Source organism: Homo sapiens, chromosome 1, assembly GCF_000001405.40.
Source record: "Homo sapiens chromosome 1, GRCh38.p14 Primary Assembly".
NCBI lineage: Eukaryota > Metazoa > Chordata > Mammalia > Primates > Hominidae > Homo > Homo sapiens.
In genome coordinates, this window is record NC_000001.11 from 95,211,447 (window position 1) to 95,231,765 (window position 20,319).

Below are 20,319 nucleotides of genomic sequence, written 5' to 3' on the forward strand. Positions count from 1 at the left end.
TTTTTTCATATGTCTGTTGGCTGCACAAATGTCTTCTTTTGAGAAGTGTCTGTTCCTATCTTTTGCCCACTTTTTGATGGGGTTGTTTGATCTTTTCTTGTAAATTTGTTTAAGTTCTTTGTAGATTCTGGATATTAGCCCTTTGTCAGATGGGTAGATTGCAAAAATTTTATCCCATTCTGTAGGTTGTCTGTTCACTCTGCTGATAGTTTTTTTTTTGCTGTGCAAAAGCTCTTTAGTTTAATTAGATCCCATTTGTCTCTTTTGGCTTTTGTTGCCATTGCTTTTAGTGTTTTAGTCATGAAGTCTTTGCCCATGCCTATGTCCTGAATGGTATTGCCTAGGTTTTCTTCTAGGGTTTTTATGATTTTGGGTCTTATATTTAAGTCTTTAATACATCTTGAATTAATTTTTGTATAAGGTGTAAGGAAGGGATCCACTTTCAGCTTTCTACATGTGGCTAGCCAGTTTTCCCAGCACTGTTTATAAAATAGGGAATCCTTTCCCCATTGCTTGTTTTTGTCAGGTTTGTCAAAGATCAGATGATTTTAGATGTGTGGTGTTATTTCTGAGGCCTTTGTTCTGTTCCATTGGCCTATATCTCTGTTTTGGTACCAGTACCATGCTGTTTTGGTTACTGTAGACTTGTAGTATAGTTTGAAGTCAGGTAGTGTGATGCCTCCAGCTTTGTTCTTTTGGTTTAGGATTGTCTTGGCTATGCAGGCTCTTTTTTGGTTCCATATAAACTTTAAAGTAGTTTTTTCCAGTTCTGTGAAGAAAGTCAGTGGTAGCTTGATGGGGATAGCTTTGAATCTATAAACTACTTTGGGTAGTATGGCATTTTCACAATATTGATTCTTCCTATCCATGAGCATGGAATGTTCTTCCATTTGTTTGTGTCCTCTTTTACTTCATTGAGTAGTGGTTTGTAGTTCTCCTTGAAGAGGTCCTTCACATCCCTTGTAAGTTGGATTCCTAGGTATTTTATTCTCTTTGTAGCAATTGTGAATGGAGTTCACTCATGATTTGGCTCTCTGTTTGTCTGTTATTGGTGTATAGGGATGCTTGTGATTTTTGCACATTGATTTTGTATCCTGAGACTTTGCTGAAGTTGCTTATCAGCTTAAGGAGATTTTGGGCTGGGACGATGGGGTTTTCTAAATATACAATCATGTCATCTGCAAATAGGGACAATTTGACTTCCTCTTTTCCTAATTGAATATGCTTTATTTCTTTCTCTTGCCTGATTGCCCTGGCCAGAACTTCCAATACTATGTTGAATAGGAGTGGTGAGAGAGGGCATCCTTGTCTTGTGCCAGTTTTCAAAGGGAATGCGTCCAGTTTTTGCCCATTCAGTATGACATTGGCTGTGGGTTTGTCATAAATAGCTCTTATTATTTTGAGATACATTCCATCAATACTTAGTTTATTGAGAGTTTTTAGCATGAAGCGCTGCTGAATTTTGTCGAAGGCCTTTTCTGCATCTATTGAGAGAGTCATGTGGTTTTTGTCTTTGATTCTGTTTATGTGATGGATTACGTTTATTGATTTGCATATGTTGAACCAGCCTTGCATCCCAGGGATGAAGCCGACTTGATTGTGGTGGATAAGCTTTTTGATGTGCTGCTGGATTCGGTTTGCCAGTATTTTATTGAGGATTTTCACATCGATGTTCATTAGGGATATTGGCCTAAAATTCTCTTTTTTTGTTGTGTCTCTGCCAGGATTTGGTATCAGGATGATGCTGGCCTCATAAAATGAGTTAGAGAGGATTCCCTCTTTTTCTGTTGATTGGAATAGTTTCAGAAGGAATGGTATCAGCTACTCTTTGTACCTCTGGTAGAATTTGGCTGTGAATCTTTCTGGTCCTGGACTTTTTTTGGTTGGTAGGCTATTAATTATTGCCTTAATTTCAGAACCTGTTATTGGTGTATTCAGAGATTTGACTTCTTCCTAGTTTAGTCTTGGGAGGGTGTATGTGTCCAGGAATTTATCCATTTCTTCTAGATTTTCTAGTTTATTTGCATAGAGGTGTTTATAGTATTCTCTGATGGTAGTTTGTATTTCTGTGGGATCAGTAGTGATATCCCCTTTATCATTGTTTATTGCATCTATTGGATTCTTCTCTCTTTTCTTCTTTATTAGTCTTGCTAGCGGTCTATGAATTTTGTTGATCTTTTCAGAAAACCAGCTCCTGGATTCATTGATTTTTGAAGGTTTTTTTGTGTCTCTATCTCCTTCAGTTCTTCTCTGATCTTAATTATTTCTTGCCTTCTGCTAGCTTTTGAATGTGTTTGCTCTTGCTTCTCTAGTTCTTTTAATTGTGATGTTAGGGTGTCAATTTTAGATCTTTCCTGCTTTCTCTTGTGGGCATTTAGTGCAATAAATTTCCCTCTACACCCTGCTTTAAATGTGTCCCAGAGATTCTGGTATGTTGTGTCTTTGTTCTCATTGGTTTCAAAGAACATCTTTATTTCTGCCTTCATTTTGTTATGTACCTAGTAGTCATTCAGGAGCAGGTTGTACAGTTTGCATGTAGTTGAGCAGTTTTGTGTGAGTTTCCTAATCCTGAGTTCTAGTTTGATTGCACTGTGGTCTGAGAGACAGTTTGTTATAATTTCTGTTCTTTTACATTTGCTGAGGAGTGCTTTACTTCCAACTGTGTGGTCAGTTTTGGAACAGTGCGATGTGGTGCTGAGAAGAATGTATATTCTGTTGATTTGGGGTGGAGAGTTCTGTAGATGTCTATTAGGTCTGCTTGGTGTAGAGCTGAGTTCAGTTCCTGGATATCCTTGTTAACTTTCTGTCTCGTTGATCTGTCTAATGTTGACAGTGGGGTGTTAAAAGTCTCCCGTTATTATTGTGTGGGAGTCTTAAGTCTCTTTGTAGGTCTCTAAGGACTTGCTTTATGAATCTGGGTGCTCCTGTATTGGGTGCATATATATTTAGGATAGTTAGCTCTTCTTGTTGAATTGATTGCTTTACCATTATGTAATGTCCTTCTTTGTCTCTTTTGATCTTTATTGGTTTAAAGTCTATTTTATCAGAGACTAGGATTGCAACCCCTGCTTTTTTTTGCTTTCCATTTGCTGGTAGATCTTCCTCCTTTTCTTTATTTTGAGTGTAGGTGTGTCTTTGCATGTGAGATGGGTTTCCTGAATACAGCACACTGATGGGACTTGACTCTTTATCCAATTTGCCAGTCTGTGTCTTTTAATTGGCTCATTTAGCACATGTATATTTAAGGTTAATATTGTTATGTGTGAATTTGATCCTGCCATTATGATGTTAGCTGGTTATTTTGTCCGCTAATTAATACAGTTTCTTCATAACAATGATGGTCTTTACAATTTGGCATATTTTTGCAGTGGTTAGTACTGGTTGTTCCTTTCCATGTTTAGTGCTTCCTTCAGGAGCTCTTGTAAGGCAGGCGTGGTGGTGACAGAATCTCTCAGCATTTGCTTGTCTGTAAAGGACTTTATTTCTCCTTCACTTATGAAGCTTAGTTTGGCTGGATATGAAATTCTGGGTTGAATATTCTTTTCTTTAAGAATATTGAATATTGACCCCCACTCTGTTCTGGCTTGTAGGGTTTCTGCTGAGAAATCTGCTGTTAGTCTGATGGGCTTCCCTTTGTGGGTAACCTGACCTTTCTCTCTGGCTGCCCTTAACATTTTTTCCTTCATTTCCACCTCGGTGAATCTGATGATTATGTGTCTTGGGGTTGCTCTTCTCAAGGAATATCTTTGTGGTGTTCTCTGTATTTCCTAAATTTGAATGTTGGCCTGCCTTGCTAGGTTGGGAAAGTTCTCCTGGATAATATCCCAAAGAGTGTTTTCTAACTTGGTTCCATTCTCCCCATCACTTTCAGGTATACCAGTCAAACGTAGACTTGTCTTTTCACACAGTCCCATATTTCTTGGAGACTTTGTTGGTTTATTTTCACTCTTTTTTCTCTAGTCTTGTCTTCTTGCTTTATTTCATTAATTTGATCTTCAATCACTGATATCCTTTCCTCCGCTTGATCAAATCGGCTATTGAAGCTTGTGTATGCTTCATGAACTTCTCGTGTTGTGTTTTTCAGCTCCATCAGGTCATTTATGTTCTTCTCTACACTGGTTGTTCTAGTTAGCCATTCCTCTAATCTTTTTTTCAAGGTTTTTATCTTCCTTCAATGGCTTAGAACATGCTCCTTTAGCTCGGAGAAGTTTGTTATTATCCACCTTCTGAAGCCTACTTCTTTCACCTCATCAAACTCATTCTCCCTCCAGTTTTGTTCCCTTGCTGGCGAGGAGTTGTGATTCTTTGGAGGAGAACAGGCATTCTGGTTTTTGGAATTTTCAGCCTTTCTGCTCTGGTTTCTCCCCATCTTTGTGGTTTTATCTACCTTTGGTCTTTGATGTTGGTGACCTATGGATGGGGTTTTGGTGTGGATGTCCTTTTTGTTGATGCTGATGCTTCTTCTGTTTGTTAGTTTTCCTTCTAACAGTCAGGCCCCTCAGCTGCAGGTCTGTTGGAGTTTGCTGGAGGTCCACTCCAGACCCTGTTTGCCTGGGTATCACCAGCGGAGGCTGCAGAACAGCAAATATTGCAGAATGGCAAATGTTTCTGCCTGATCCTTCCTCTGGAAGCTTCATCTCAGAGGGGCACCCACCAGATGCCAGCCAGAGCTCTATTGTATGAGGTGTCTGTCGGCCCCTACTGGGAGGTGTCTCCCAGTAAGGCTACCCGGGGGTCAGGGACCCACTTGAGGAGGCAGTCTGTCTGTTATCAGAGCTTGAACACCATGCTGGGAGAACCACTGCTGTCTTCAGCGCTGTCAGTCAGGGACGTTTAAGTCTGGAGAAGCTGTGCCCACCACTGCCCCTTCCCCCAGGTGCTCTGTCCCAGGGGGATGGGGGTTTTACGTATAAGTCCCTGAGTGGGGCAGCTGCCTTTTGTTCAGATATGCCCTGCCTACAGAGGTGGAACCTAAAGAGGCAGTCTGCCTTGCTGAACTGCGGTGGGCTCCACCCAGTTCGAGCTTCCTGGCAGCTCTGTTTACACTGTGAGCATAGAAGCTGCCTACTCACACCTCACCATGGCAGACGCCCCTCCGCCTGCCAAGCTCCAGCATCCCAGGTTGATCTCAGACTGCTGCACTAGCAGCGAGAATTTCAAGCCAATGAATCTTTGCTTGCTGGGCTCGGTGGGCATGGGGCCCACTGAGCCAGGCACTGGAGGGAATCTTCTGGTCTGCTGGTTGCGAAGACTGTGGGAAAAGTGCTGTATTTGGGCAGGAGTGTACTGTTCCTCCCACTACAGTGTCTCTCACGGCTTCCCTTGGCTAGGTAAGGGAAATCCCCTGACCCCTTGCGCTTCCTGGGTGAGGCGGCGCCCAGCCCTGCTTCGGCTTGCCTTCTGTGGGTTGCACCCACTGTCCAACCAGTCTCAATGAGATGAACCAGGTACCTCAGTTGGAAATGCAGAAATCACCCATCTTCTGTGTCAGTCTCACTGGGAGCTGCAGACCAGAGCTGTTCCTGTTCGGCTATCTTGGAAGAGTCCTCCTGCCACAGACTTTTAAACCATCAGATATTGTGAGAAGTTACTATCATGAGAACGGCATGGGGGAAATCTGCCCCCGTGATCCAATTACCTTCCACCAGGTGCCTCCCCTGACACATGGGGATTACAATTCCACATGAGATTTGGGTGGGGACATAGAGCCAAACCATATCAGAAGAGTTCCTCCTCAAAGAGTTCATAGTCTACTTGCAGCCACTTCCACTCTCCACTTGAATTCAAAAAGTTTCAGTTGATTTTTCAGATGACATGTACAACCAGATGCCAAGCTGGAGTTTCTCCCTTCTTTTAAGATCTAGACAGAATTGGATAGAAACACAACCCTAGTTTGATAGCCTATAAAAATCCAGACTTTCCCACAGTTTATTGAGAGAACCCAGAGGTAAAACTTGGTCCTTCTCTAATTTTCACAGAAAACCACCTGCACAGAGATGCTGTCTATATCTATTTGTAGACTTACTGTTGTAAACGAAGATAAAGGAAGAGATGATGTAAACAGGGCAAACCCCTCTGAAAGGAACTGTGGGCTCTTGCTTCCACAGATTAGCTCAGTATCTTGATCTTCTCACTGTCTGCAGTGCTGTATCCATCCTGCAGTACACACTGTAATTGCCATCCATAAGCTCAGGCTTCCCAAATGTGTGCAAGAGAGCAGCACCTGAGCTACATCTAATCAGATCCCTATTTGAACTCTCTTTTAAAACAAGTAAGGCAAAATCTTCCTTCTGTCTGGAGAAATCTCTTGTTTAGTGTAAATGTTTAATAGGTAATCATATAAGTAACATTAAAAAACATGCTGAAATGATTAGACAGGATAATAGACAACATAAAGCAATGTTTAATTACTTGGTAAGTACTGGCTGTGTGCCAATGTAGAGATCAACTATCAGGTGTGTGTATGTGTGACTTCCTCCCATTCTTTACATTACTTAAAGTCACTGAATCACATAAGCAATAATATAAATGTGTTTAGTATTTTACTTATATATAAGACAAAAATTGCCAATGCTGTCTAGCCAAAGACCACCAGGAACACACTTGTTATTGAACAAGTTGGATCTATTACTCTGGCAGTAAGGAAGAAGGCATTCCATGGGGAACATCCTCTTATGCTGGCTGCCACTCACCCTACATTTGCATAACTTAGAAGTTTATTCATATAACCCTTCTGAACAAGAAGCTCAAGTTCTATCACCTTTTAAAAGGCAAAAATAAAAAATGGTGAAAGGTGAGTATCTTGCTATATTAGTAAACGAGAAGGAGAGATAAAAGGAGAACCAAGGAGACTGTGGTAAGGAAACTGGAAGTTTTAAAGTAGTGAGTGATCAGTACTTTCAATCTTCCTCAGGTTAAGTAAGATGAAGACTGAGGAGAATCCACTGGATTTGGACTTTGAGTCACTGTTGGGTAGACACATGACTGCAGTGGTTTGAAGAGTGAGTGAGAGGTGAAGTAGAGGCTGCACTTGGCCCTCAGTATCCATACACTGTGCATCCATGTATTCAACCAACCTCAGATTGAAAATATTTTAAAAAATGTGCCTATATTGAACATGTATAGCTTTTTTTTCTTTCATTATACCCTAACCAATGCAGTATAACAACTATTTACAGAGCATTTACATTGTATTAGGCATTATAAGTAATCTAGAATGATTTAAAGTATATTGGAGGATGTGCATGGGTTATATGCAAATACTATGCCATTTTATATCAGGAATTTGAGCACCCTTGGAGTTTGGTATCACAGGAAGGTCTTGGAACCAGTCTTCCAGGGATAGGGAGGGACAGCTGTCCTTGTCTTGCAGGAACCTTGGCCATGAAAGGATACTGTGAGGGGATACTGTGTGTGTGTGTGTGTGTGTGTGTTGGGGAGCTTTGGGGGAGGGTGGAGGGTGGGGAGTGACGATGTTGTAGGTAGGCTTCCTCAGAAGAAAGTGTGGCTTTGAGGATTTCCAGCCTCACTTTTATTATCTGTCTCTTTAGGAATTTTAAGTTAACCAAGGGACTGGTATATCATGATCAACCATTGAAATGCCAAAATGCTAAGTGAATTATTTTAAAAATAAACCCTTCATATGTCAAAACAATTTTAGATTTACAGAAAAGTTGCAGTCAGTACAGACAATTCTAATACAACTTGCACCCAACTTCTCCTCCTGTTAACATTAATATGATACATTTGTTATAATGAATCAATATTTATACATTATTATTAACTAAAATCTATACTGTATTCAGATTTTCTTAGTTTTTACCTAATATCCTTTCCTTATTACAGGATCCCATCCAGGATACATAACATTTAGTTATGTTTAAAAAAAAAAAGTAACTGGGAAGCCATTAGGCTGAGAGGGCTCTGGGAAGCCATTAGGCTGAGAGGGATCTGTGTTCTGGGTTTCTACGTAAGCAAACCTTGCAACCCAACTCAAAGTAACTTTACTCATCAGAAACTGCCAACTAGAGACTTTAAGGATACTGTCTCACTTTAACCAGTCAAACATTTTCTTTGTGTTGCTTCTGTGAACACTTCATAAAAGCGTTCCCCTCATATCCCCTCTATGGAGCCCAAACCACACGTGGTTTGGTGCTGCCTGATTCATGAATTGCTGACTGCTCAGATAAACTCTAAAAGTTTCATTTGCCAAAGTTTATCTTTTCATGGTCTCATCTTGACTGTGACAGTTTCTCTGATTTTTCCTGTTTTTGATGACCTTGATAGCTTGGAGTACTGGTCAGGTACTTTGTAGAATGTACCTCAACTGGAATTTGTCTGACGCTTTTCTCACTATGAAACTGGGGTTGTGGGTTTGGGCGAGGAAGACCACAGAAGTAAAGTATCACTTTAATCCCCTCACATCAAGGGTACAGACTGCCGACATTACTTACTGCTGTTGATGTTGACCTTGATCACATGGCCAACATAGTGTTTGTCAGGTTTCTCCACTGTGAAGTTACTCTCCCTTCCCCACTCTCCTTTTGTACCATCCTCACTGATGGAAGTCACCATGTGAAGCCTGTACTCAAGGAGTGGGCATTTGTACTCCACCTCCTTGAGGGTGAGGTTCTACATAAATTATTTGGAATTTTTATGCATCAGAGTTTTGTCTCATCTCCCCAGGATAAATGGATTTTAATCCTTAAAAAGACTGAATGATGGCTGGGTATGGTGGCTCATGCCTGTAACCCCAGCACTTTGGGAAGCTGAGGTGGGCAGATCATGAGGTCAGGAGATTGAGACCATCCTGGTGAACACAGTGAAACCCTGTCTCTACTAACAATACAAAATGTTAGCTGGGCATGGTGGCGCGCACCTGTAGTCCCAGCTACTTGGGAGGCTGAGGCAGGAGAATCGCTTGAGCCCGGGAGGCAGAGGTTGCAGTGAGCCAAGATCACACCACTGCACTCCAGCCTGGGTGACAGAGTGAGACTCCATCTCAAAAAAAAAAAAAAAAAGACTGAATGACTTCATGCCTTGCTTACTAAGATTAAACTCACAGGATAAATTTTATCCAGGAAGCTAGCTATTTGGTTCATTTTTTTCAATACAGATTAACATGCTGATGGTAGCAGAAGTTGAGAGCAGTGAAGAAGAGCCTCACGAAAATAATATTCAGTGTGTCTTATTCACATATTTCTTTGCACAGTCATTAACATTTCCACAGGCCAAGTAAAAAGTCATATAGTGGAAACTACTTGTAACTGAGTGATTTGAATAACACAATGCTGAAGTACTGGATCAACATTTTATTTTAATTTTTTTAATATTTATTTTTTGAAACAGGGTCTTGCTCTGTCAGCCAAGCTGGAGTGCAGTGGTATGATTACAGTTCACTGTAGTCTCGACCTTCTGGGCTCAAGTCATTCTCGCACCTCAGCCTCTTGAATAGCTGGGACCACAGGTATATATGTATTTTTAATTTTTTTTTTTTTTTGTAGAGACAAGGTCTTGCTATGTTGCTCAGGCTGGTCTTGAACTCCTGGGCTCAAGTGATGCTCCTGCATCAGTCTCCCAAAATGCTGGGATTATAGGCATGAGCCACTGCACCTGGCCTAATTGTCACTTTTATTTTCTGACTTCTGAGTAGGTAGCATAGCGTAAAAAATTAGAGTTTCTTGTCTGTATAATTAGCATTGGGAATGGAAGAGAAACCGCAGAAGAAAGCAAACTGGTTGTGCTGGTCAGCCATAGTTCACCTAAGTTCTACCACTTACTAGTTGTATGACCTAGGGAAAATTACTTGACCTCTGTAAGCCTCAATGTTCTCACCCATAAATTGAGAAAAGTAATAATACCTACATAACATAATTTTGGGGGACTAAATGAGATAATATACTTTTAAGTGTATTTGTAAACTCTAAAGTTGCACTGGTTGCTCAAGCTGACACTCAATTGCTGGGGCTGACACTCAGCCAGGGTGCACTGCACCCGCCAGCAGAGATGTTTATACCTAGTGTTTGTTAGATTGGCCAGGCCTCAAGCTGCATTCGCTGTTAAATATTGCGAATATCACCACTGCTAGCGACTGGGGAACCATACTGAGTCAGCTTCCTCCTGGCAGTCACAGCCATTTACGTACTGTTGGAACTAGCACCATAGCTGGGCCTCACTACATGTGGATGATTAAGATTCCCTGATGTCTGGGGACACGAGTGTGGGCAGCCAAAGATTTACCTTGATGGATTTTGAAACACAAACTTTCCTCTTGCAGAAGGCGTACTGGCTATCCTTGGGTCAGCATGTAATGTTGGTATATTCCTTCACAGAGTATACACAGACAGGCAGACAGACATTCCTGTATTCATTCTGTGGACGCCCATCTGCTGGTGCAAACAATTAAAACAGTGGATATAGTTTTGTTCCTTTCCTTGCTTTCCCTTTCTTAAAATGTTACCCAAAGTAATGAACACATGACGGAAATCATACTCCTGAATAATTGCTTAAGTATAAGTAGGTTAGGCATCAATACAAAGCTATCGAAAATTCCAAGCCATATTTATTACTGACTTTGGAGATGGTTCTTTCAGTGAATCATATGACACCATTAAATATAAAAATATATTGAGTCGCATCCCCTCAAATACATTATAACTTTAATGCTCTTTATTGAATCAATTCTACTTTTATTGGAAAAAAATGATTTGTGCTTTTGAGAGAAACAGTAATATAATAATTTCCAAGTTGCATCCTATGCTTTGTTTTTCCAAGTCAATATTTTGGCTAAGGAGTTTAGTTTTTGATTCGTAAAATTGTATCAGCTGGCTAAGATTGAGTACACAAACTTTTTTTGTAATTGCAAGTTACTTATTAAGGTGGGCTTTTAAAAGGTCATTATTTTGGTGACAAAAGCAATCACCCATTTGATTTTGGTAATAAAAGTTAAAATCAAGCTAGGTGCCGTGGCTCACACCTGTAATCCCAGCACTTTGGGAGGCCAAGGCAGGTGGATCACTTGAGGCCAGGAATACGAGGCCAGCCTGGCCAACATGGCGAAACCCTGTCTCTACAAAAAACACAAAAATTAGTTGGGCATGGTGGTGTACTCCTGTAATCCCAGCTACTCAGGTGGCTGAGAGATGAGACTCGCTTGAACCCGGAAGTCTAAGGTTGCAGTGAGCCTAGATTGTGCCACTGCACTCCAGCCTGGGCAACAGAACAAGACTCTGTCTCAAAAAAATAAATAAATAAATAAAATCAATAGTCCATAAGGAAAAACAAGAACATTTCCGTTTCCTTCTCATTGTCTAGCTTTGAAGACCTGACTTCAACTGCAGGGAGAATGGAACTCTCTGTACTGTTTCAGAACTTAGTGATTTTTCCTTTCCCCAGTCACAAGTCTTATAGTATAAAAACTACCATGAGGTAGTTCGTGGAGATAAGGTTTATAACATCAGTTTATTCTTTTATTTCACCCATAGGTATTTCATAGTTCTTAGAAATTCTCACTACTGAGCAAAATGATATTGTCTTCACTTAACTTTGTTAAGCATATCACTTGATAATACTGAATTTGAATTCTATTAAGAAGAAAATACATATGATCAAAGAAGCTGGGAGTGAAATGGGCCATGAAATCCACTGGATATACTCACATGTAACCCATGCAATGTCTGGATGACTTTAATCTGTGCAAGAGTAAATAATTCAAAAACCAGAAAGGTTCTCAGAAATCATGGTGTAATTTGCATCTTTTTACAGTGGAGGAAACTGAGTTCCATCAAAGTTAAGCAACTTGCACTAAAACAGAGCTGCTGAGGAAAACTGAGCTGACTCATGGTCTGAGTTCTTTGTGCTTATTTTACTGCTTCTTACCCAGTGCTGATTAGGGCATAGTTTAATCCTACAGAGAATCAGTGCTTCCAGAGCCACAGACTTGTAACTGAAACAGCCAGCTTCATTCATTGCACTTTTAAAGAAGTGAGACAGCAGGGCTCAAATCTGGCTGTTAGAGGTGTGTGAAAAGTAATACTTTATTATTACTAGTAAAATGTATAAATGTATTAAAACTGTGAATGATTACAATGGTATGCTTTTGGTTGCAAGGAATAAAATCCCAAATAGAACTAGCTAAGGCAAAAAAAGAGGATGCTTTGATATTAGGATTCTAATAAAAAGCATAATTGAAGAAAGAGCTGCACCACCAAATCAAGGATAAAGCTGGCTTTGAGAACAACCTGAACAGTGACTGAATGTTGCTGGGATTCTCATTCTCTCTATCTCTTTCTAGCTCTCAGCACCTTCTTTAAGCTTTTACTTTGAACTCCTAGGGATGTTGGGAGTGGGGTGAGGGTAGTTACTGTACAGAAATTGAGAGCTTTTGGCGGGGGGGGGGGGGTCACTCAAAACTAGGTTCAAATTCTGCTTTGCAATTTTACCTTGGACATGTTATTTAATGTCTCTGAAGGAATAAAAGTTCAATAATAACTGCCTTTCAGGGTTTTTGAGAAGAATAACATGCAATAATGTACATAATACAATTAGCATAACTGTTGGCCTATAGTAGCTACTCAATAAATGGTAGTTATTGTTATACATTTAAGATATTATTTGATTATAGGTCTTTCGTCCCTACTCTTCCACCATAACCCTGGCTGAAAAACCAACAGACACAAAGCCAACTGACAAAGATCAGTTTTCATAGAACCTAAGATGCCATCAATTGTGAGATGGACCACTATTTTATGTAGCTCTGCAAAAGAAAATAGCTGCCAATTATACTCTGGGTTATTTACCATTTGAAATTTTTATTTTATACTTCTTAAAAAGCTCTTTTAGATTTAGTTAGATGTATATGATCAAATATCACTATTATTCATACATAGAAAGGAACATATCAGTCAAAACTTGGCTAAAGTATTCCCAAAACTTGTTAACATTCTGTCTGTGAACCACATTTCAACTCAGAGGCATTGGTGTCTGTATTCTTCCATATGTATTATCCTTTGTTTCTTTGATAGCATTGGTGAAACTGCATTTCTTAAGAAACAAACAAACAATCCCCCCCAAAACTCCACTAGTACCTCCAGGACTTCTTTCCAAGATGTTAATAGTCATTCTGCCATTCTATAAGATTTCATGATCTCAGAAATCAAGTCATCAAGGAAATGACAAAATAATGCATGTACAAGCCATCTTGTCTGCTGCCTGGCTAATGCCAAGGCGAGATGCCATTGATGTTTTGGAGCTTCTTGATTTCAGAGACGTTAAAATATATATAAAAAATGCATCTAAAAAGTGATATACAGTCTGGGCATGGTAGCTCACACCTGTAATCCCAGCACTTTGGGATGCTGAGGCAGAAGGATCATTTGAGGCCAGGAGTTTGAGAACAGCCTGGACAACACAGCAAGACCCTGTTTCTACAAATAATAATAATAAAATAAAAAGTGATACATAAAGAATACTAGACTGCCCATATCACTACAGGTACCTCACTTTGTCAAAAATAAATATAATTGGCCGGGCGCGGTGGCTCACGCCTGTAATCCCAGCACTTTGGGAGGCCGAGGCGGGCGGATCACGAGGTCAGGAGATCGAGACCATCCCGGCTAAAAAACGGTGAAACCCCGTCTCTACTAAAAATACAAAAAATTAGCCGGGCGTAGTGGCGGGCGCCTGTAGTCCCAGCTACTCGGGAGGCTGAGGCAGGAGAATGGCGTGAACCCGGGAGGCGGAGCTTGCAGTGAGCCGAGATCCCGCCACTGCACTCCAGCCTGGGCGACAGAGCGAGACTCCGTCTCAAAAAAAAAAAAAAAAATAAATAAATAAATATAATTATAAAATTATTTGAAATAGCGAGTTTGTTTAATGCATTAAAAATTATTTGAATAATTGCTGGCTGCAGTGGCTCCTGTCTGTAATCCTAGCACTTTGGAAGGCTGATGTGAGTGGATCACTTGAGGTCAGGAGTTCAAGACCAGCCTGGCCAACATGGTGAAACCCTGTCTCTACTAAAAATACAAAAAAATTAGGCAGGCATCGTGGCTCATGCCTGTAGTCCCAGCTACTCAGGAGGCTAAGGCAAGAGAATCACTTGAACCCAGGAGGTGGAGGTTGCAGTGAGCTGAGATTGTGCCACTGCACTCCAGCCTTGGTGACAGCAAGACTTGGTCTCAAAAAAAAAAAATAAAAAATTTGAGTAACTACTCAGTCTGTGTAAAATGAGGTGTATTTGAATCAATCATTTTTTTTTCTTTTGGTTAATATTAACAGACAATGGTAGGCTGAGCTTTTAGGCTAAAAACAATTTTCCCTAAGTGAAGATTTGGTTTTCTTCAGTTCTATTAGCATTTCATTCACAGAGACAGATTGGTGCCATTTGAAGACACTTGAAACCTGTATTTTTTCTTGCCAAGATTTGTTGTTATAACATAAAAATCAAGCAGTAGCAAAGCTTACATGTTTTTTAAAAGAATAAATTCCCTTCAATTTTTAAGCTGAGAGCATATTCAGCTCAAATTCAGAAAAAAACAGGAATCTTATGAAAATATTATGAACTTGCTTACCTGTCTGTTTTCCCCCAATACTTCTAAAAATTGAGATGTACATAAAATAAAATGCACAGCTCTTAAAGATACAGTTAAATGGCTTAAACTCATGTAACTACTACCCCAATTAAGAAACAGAACATTTTAATCAACAATAAAAAGTTCCCTTGGGTCCCTCTCCAGTGAATCCCCTGCCCCCTTCAACATAATCTGATCTGTTAATTTAAGCCATGGTCAACAACATATTGAAGTATCAGAAAAATAAAAGGAGAAGCATCAGAAAAATAAAAAAAGAAAAGAAAAAGAAGCTTCTTAAGAGATCATGACTTACAGACTAAGATATCTAAGTGCCTCTTCTTAATTTTAATTACTGTGGTTATATTGTTATACATCACTTGCCTTGAGTGACTTATTTTAAAAATAATTAGTAGTAACTTGTATAGTAACAGAACATTATACCCTACTCACTTATTCAGGTGGAAATAGGATAGATTTCTAGCTAGCCTGGATCAGGTACCATGGGGTATCTCATTACAGTTTGGGACATAAACACTATATAGATTTACCTACCACATGACTTCCAGACTCAACCCAGTAATGTCAAAACTTTATATTGCATAGTAGCTTTAAATTACTTTAAAAGCCATTTTTATTTGCGCATAATACAATCAAGTGAAGTGGTAACTGTGAGCAACTGTTAGTCAAATGTGAAAAGTTACTGTAAAGGTGACATGCACTCCTCTTTTCAGCTCCCCGTATGAAGCTGTGGGGCTTCGTTAGGATTAATCCATTGTTGCATTTGCCCATTTGTATTTTCTTCACTACTCTCAATGTGAATCAAGTAAAGACATCAGTATTAATCTGCCTGCTTAACACTGATGTGTGTCAACATGTTCAAGGTATGATAAAATCTGGTAGAAATCAGAGTGGAGGTAATAAGAAAAGTGAACCATAACCTATTTACTTATACACTATAACCATGCATTAATTCATTCTTGACTCATTCCACAAATATTGAATGCCTTTTATATGCCAGGCCCTGTGCTAAAAGTTGGAGATACAACCAAAGATGACATAGAAATGCACCCTCATCTCATGAAAATCATAATCTACTGGGATTATAGACATATAAGCAAATACAGTTCCCTACGATAAGTGATGGGGAAGTATAGGATGAGTGGAATTCAGACCTGAAGAATGAATAAGAGTTCACCAGAGGGAGAAGTAAGGAATTATCTTAGGAAAAAGGGGAAAGAGGTAATGACAAAGTATGTGGTAATATGATCCCAAGAGTAGAAGCTCTGGCTGTGTTTCATCTGGAAGTATAATGTTCATTTTGAAACTAATGAAGCTATCAGTGAAAAAATGTCTGGCTAATTAATGTTTTGAACAGCAATGAGAATCACGTAAATAGACAAGGATTTTACCTAAAACAACAAATGACAAAGTATTATAGCCTAGCCTTTTATTCTTAGATAGCTTTTATATCACTAAGGCAGAGAGATAGAAACACACACAGAGAGACGTAGAGAGAGAGAGAGAGAGAGGGGCAGTCAGACAGACAGAAACAAAAGCCAATGTGGTATTAGCAGGTGGCAATTGTGCTACAAGGGAGATTTTTTCTATTGACTTTTTTTCCCCACTAAAAACAGAAGGAAATAATGTTAAAAAGTGAAAAACAACAGGGAAATGCAGAAACACTCCCACAAAGGGGTTATTGTTTTGATCCAGATTGTGTTAGAAACACGAGCAAAATAGTGCTTCTTTGTTTCATTGCCAGGAAGTACATCACCGTCATTGTGAAATTCTTGAGATTCAGACCGGCAATCATCTACTCCCATGATTTCAACAGGCTGCAGATGACCACATGTATGATTTTTTTTTTTTTTTTTTTTTTGAGACGGAGTCTCGCTCTGTCGCCCCAGGCTGGAGTGCAGTGGCGCGATCTAGGCACACTGCAAGCTCCGCCTCTCGGGTTCACGCCATTCTCCTGCCTCAGCCTCCCAAGTAGCTGGGACTACAGGCGCCCACCACCACGCCCGGCTAATGTTTTTGTTTTTTTAGTAGAGACGGGGTTTCACCGTGTTAGCCAGGATGGTCTCGATCTCCTGACCTCGTGATCCTCCCGTCTCGGCCTCCCAAAGTGCTGGGATTACAGCAATCACTCGATGGCGTGAGCCATCGCGCCCGGCCATGTATGATCTTTTAAGACCTGTCTCTCCCACTATACTACAACTTCTAAGAGATCCTGTTGCAAACCAGTTTCCCTGGGACCTGGTGCAATACTTGGCACATAGTAAGGTGCTCAATAAGTGCTTGTTGAAGAATAAAGGCAGAGATCTATCTTTCCAGCCACATTTCCTTAAGCTTTCTTCTTCCCCCGCTTACCCTATGATGGGGAACCTCTATCACAATGGCCAAACCAGGCATCCTAGGCCTTCTCCAATGGTTTTTTACTTCTTTGGCAGGACCTTCATCACTTTATCCCAGGAAATGCTGGTGCCCCTCTGGGATTAGATTCCAAGTGCCTGGAGGGCAGTGACTATGTCTCATTCACTCACAAAAACACCTGAAATTTTACAAAATGACTAGCATATAGTAGGTGCTTGTTAAGTCTAAGTTATTTTATCAAGAATTTATGAACTTTATGATGAGTTTATTTGTATCAATAAATATGTATCGAATTCCTAATCTGCCAGGCACTGTTTAAGGTATGGAAGATACAGAGGTGAACAAGCATGATAAGGCCCCTGGAAGCTTACTGGAACTTTAAATTCTAGTAGAGACAAACTAGATCCCTATCTGTCACCATATACAAAAATCAATTCAAAATAGATTAAAGACTTAAATTTAAGACCAGAAACTATGAAACTACTAGAAGCAAACATAGGGGAAATGGATCAGGACATTGGTCTAGGCAAAGATTTTTTGGGTAAGACCTCAAAAGCAGAGGCAACATAAACAATAGACAAATGGGATTACATCAAACTAAAAAGCCTCTGCACAGCAAAGGAAGCAATCAGCAGAGTGAAGAGGCAACCTACAGAATGGGAAAAAAAATATTTGCAAGCTATCCATCTGACCCAAACTCATCTTAATGAGTACAGGGCCTGTCAGATTAAAACCAACATTTTCAAGCTCCCTTTTAACTGGCAGCAGTCATGGGGACTGAGTCCTAGTCAATGAAATTGGACTGAATCCCATTCTTCTGACTCGTGATCGGAGCTCCAAAAGCCACCCTGAACCACAGCATGACCATGGGAATCAAATCTGTGCAGAGCAGAGCCACAAAATAGATGGAACTTATATCCTGACACCGGGGAGCACCAAAGCTCTGCCTACCTCCACACTTGAACGTTTAAGAGAAAACCAATTGTATCTTGTTAAAGCCACTGCACTGTTAGGCTCTGTGCTTTTTTTCACCTGAACTAATCGTAAATCATACATCTGTTAAACACATCACTTTAGAACCTGTCATCTTCTGTCTCTTAATATCATCCACCAACTCTATTCACTCCATTTGGCCCCGGTTTTCCTTTTTCTTCCCTATTTTCCTGCTTTATTTTTGTCCTTTTTCCCTTAATTGAGCATTAGGCAAAACTCAAATATCCTGATGTATTATCTACTGAACACATTTTAAAAATTAACATTTATTAAAAAGAATATGAAATACACAAATGTAGAGGGAATGAAATACTGAATCTTCATGTACCCATCACTCCACCCCACCAATCATTAACCTATGATCAGCTTCTGCCCCACTCACACTATAGCCTCTTCCTCCCTCCTATATTATTTTGAATCAAATTTCAGACCTCATATTGTTATTGAATCAAGTTTCAGACTTCTTTATTTAAGAAGCAGGCAAGTCAATCTTTTTTACTTTTTCCTTACATAAAGACAAATTCCTAACTCATGACTTCTTTTGCCTCATAAAAATCAATCTTTTCTTTCCCTATTTCTCCTCCTTTTCCCCCTTCCCCTCTTCCTCCTACCTCTTTTTTTTTCTCTTTCTCTTTCCCTTCCTACCTTCTTCCCTCCTTCCACTATAATTTTTAAAAAGGAAATCCAAGTCTAATTTTCCCAGTTTTACCTGTGGTTCCTTGATATACATCTGTCTTTCCATTTTCAATCACTTTTGCTAAAATGGCAGAGTTTACTCATGGATAGTCCCTTTATGAGTTTGGAGAAAAGGATATTTAAGTCACACAATCCTCAGCCCTCTTTTAGATAATAAAAACTGGCTACACTAGTAATACAGTGGGAAAATATAATGAATAAGAAGAATCCATTTATAATAGTCACCAAAATTAAATATTGGATACTATTTTAACTAGAAAAACTCAAAAACCCCAATGATACCAGTGACTTGTTTTTATAACATTGAGAAGGCATTGAGCTTTTATATTGGTGGATTTGGGCCATATGGATGGGTTCCCATAAAGCAAGCTGGAACTGTCTTGATACCATTCATGCATAGAAATCAAGCATGGCAGAGTGCAGCCGATATTTTGGAGGGAGTGCAGATTACTTGGACATGATGGAGGCAGATCTTTCCACACAAGGGTATGATCACAGAGCCAGTGGCAAATTCTCATAGATTTTATTTGCTTTTATCATTATGAAAAATAAATTTACGATCTGTATACTGTAACAAAACAAAACAACTATGACTAGTTAACATCCCAGACTTTGTGTACTTTTGGAGGGCTACTGTGTTCCTGAGCATTTCCAAATTATTTCTCCCCTCGGAAATTGTGGGAGGTATATGCTACTCCTACTCTGTTACTTTAACCTACATCATAATATTGAACTTTACACCGCTAAGGAAATGTGATAATTCTTGTATGCTCAGCTTGGTGAAAGAATTTGTAATTGTTTCATATTGTGTTTACTTGTCTAGACCAAAGGCTGTAGTCACTGGAAACATGGACTTGTTTTCATCTCTAACTCTCCACCTCTCCACACTCAGCCTGCAGAGCCCGGCCAACAATCAGTGAGTGTCTAAGAACATTTTGTGAAATGAGTATGCGAATGCAGAAACTCTTTAGACAGAACCAGTAGCACAGGTTCTTGGAGTTCAGATTTATTTAGGAAGTTGGCATTTAAGCCCTCTTTTGGTTGTTTTGGTGGTTCATGAAAGTACTTTTACCTTTCTCAGTTTTGATTTGATATTTTTTCTTATCACACTCCACTCCAGTATTAGGATCCTCACCTTTTTTTGACATAACACTTAACTCTCCTAATACACTTGAAATTGTGCATTCTCATTTCTATGCTCACGTGAGTTTTGACTTAAGATTTCAAACTCAGAGTTGAGTAAGTCTACATACTACTCATGAGAAAGTGAGTAGAACTGTTTCCCCCCAAAATGAAAAGAACTATCTTCTGGGTTATTGGTTTTAACTGAAGGTGAAAGGTTTTAAACCTTTTCCCCTTATGGTCTTGGGGAAGCAACTATTTAGAAAATTTGCTTGTAAAAATAATACTTGTAAAAATAATAATTGTTCTAGCAAATCATACACCTTTGTGTGTGTAAGGGTGAGAAGGGAGAGAGAGAGATGGAGGTAGACAATGCTCTAACTGTAGACATTCATCCTACATTTAAATATTTTGAATTTTCAGTAGCCTGTGAATACGAGGAAACTTATTACATTAAGGTAGACTTTAGAGATTTGACATGTAGCTGATATTTTCACAGTGCAAGAAATATCAAGCTGACATTATGCAGTCTCTGAGATGATTATTTCCAAATGTCAGAGTGCAG

General features: G+C 39.6%; 1 protein-coding gene and 1 long non-coding RNA gene across 3 annotated transcripts in view, besides 1 other annotated feature; one reads left to right on the forward strand and one right to left on the reverse strand.

Moving 5' to 3' along the window:
* Positions 1 to 20,319, forward strand: part of TLCD4-RWDD3 (TLCD4-RWDD3 readthrough) — a 127,033-nt gene that overhangs the window by 93,524 nt on the left and 13,190 nt on the right. The window contains 1 exon segment of the mRNA NM_001199691.1: positions 19,456 to 19,548. Coding sequence (NP_001186620.1) covers positions 19,456 to 19,548 — 93 coding nt within the window.
* Positions 1 to 20,319, reverse strand: part of RWDD3-DT (RWDD3 divergent transcript) — a 70,764-nt gene that overhangs the window by 48,228 nt on the left and 2,217 nt on the right. For both annotated transcript variants that reach the window (NR_125949.1, NR_125948.1), the window contains exon 2: positions 10,240 to 10,385. This is a non-coding gene — a long non-coding RNA (RWDD3 divergent transcript). The remainder of the gene's footprint in view (positions 1 to 10,239; positions 10,386 to 20,319) is intronic.
* Positions 5,169 to 5,669: an enhancer, noted in NCBI's record as "H3K4me1 hESC enhancer chr1:95682171-95682671 (GRCh37/hg19 assembly coordinates)". NCBI's record gives its function as "activates a minimal SCP1, AML or CMV promoter by ChIP-STARR-seq in naive H9 embryonic stem cells {active_cell/tissue: H9 hESC(naive)}" and the evidence as "EXISTENCE:reporter gene assay evidence [ECO:0000049][PMID:30033119]".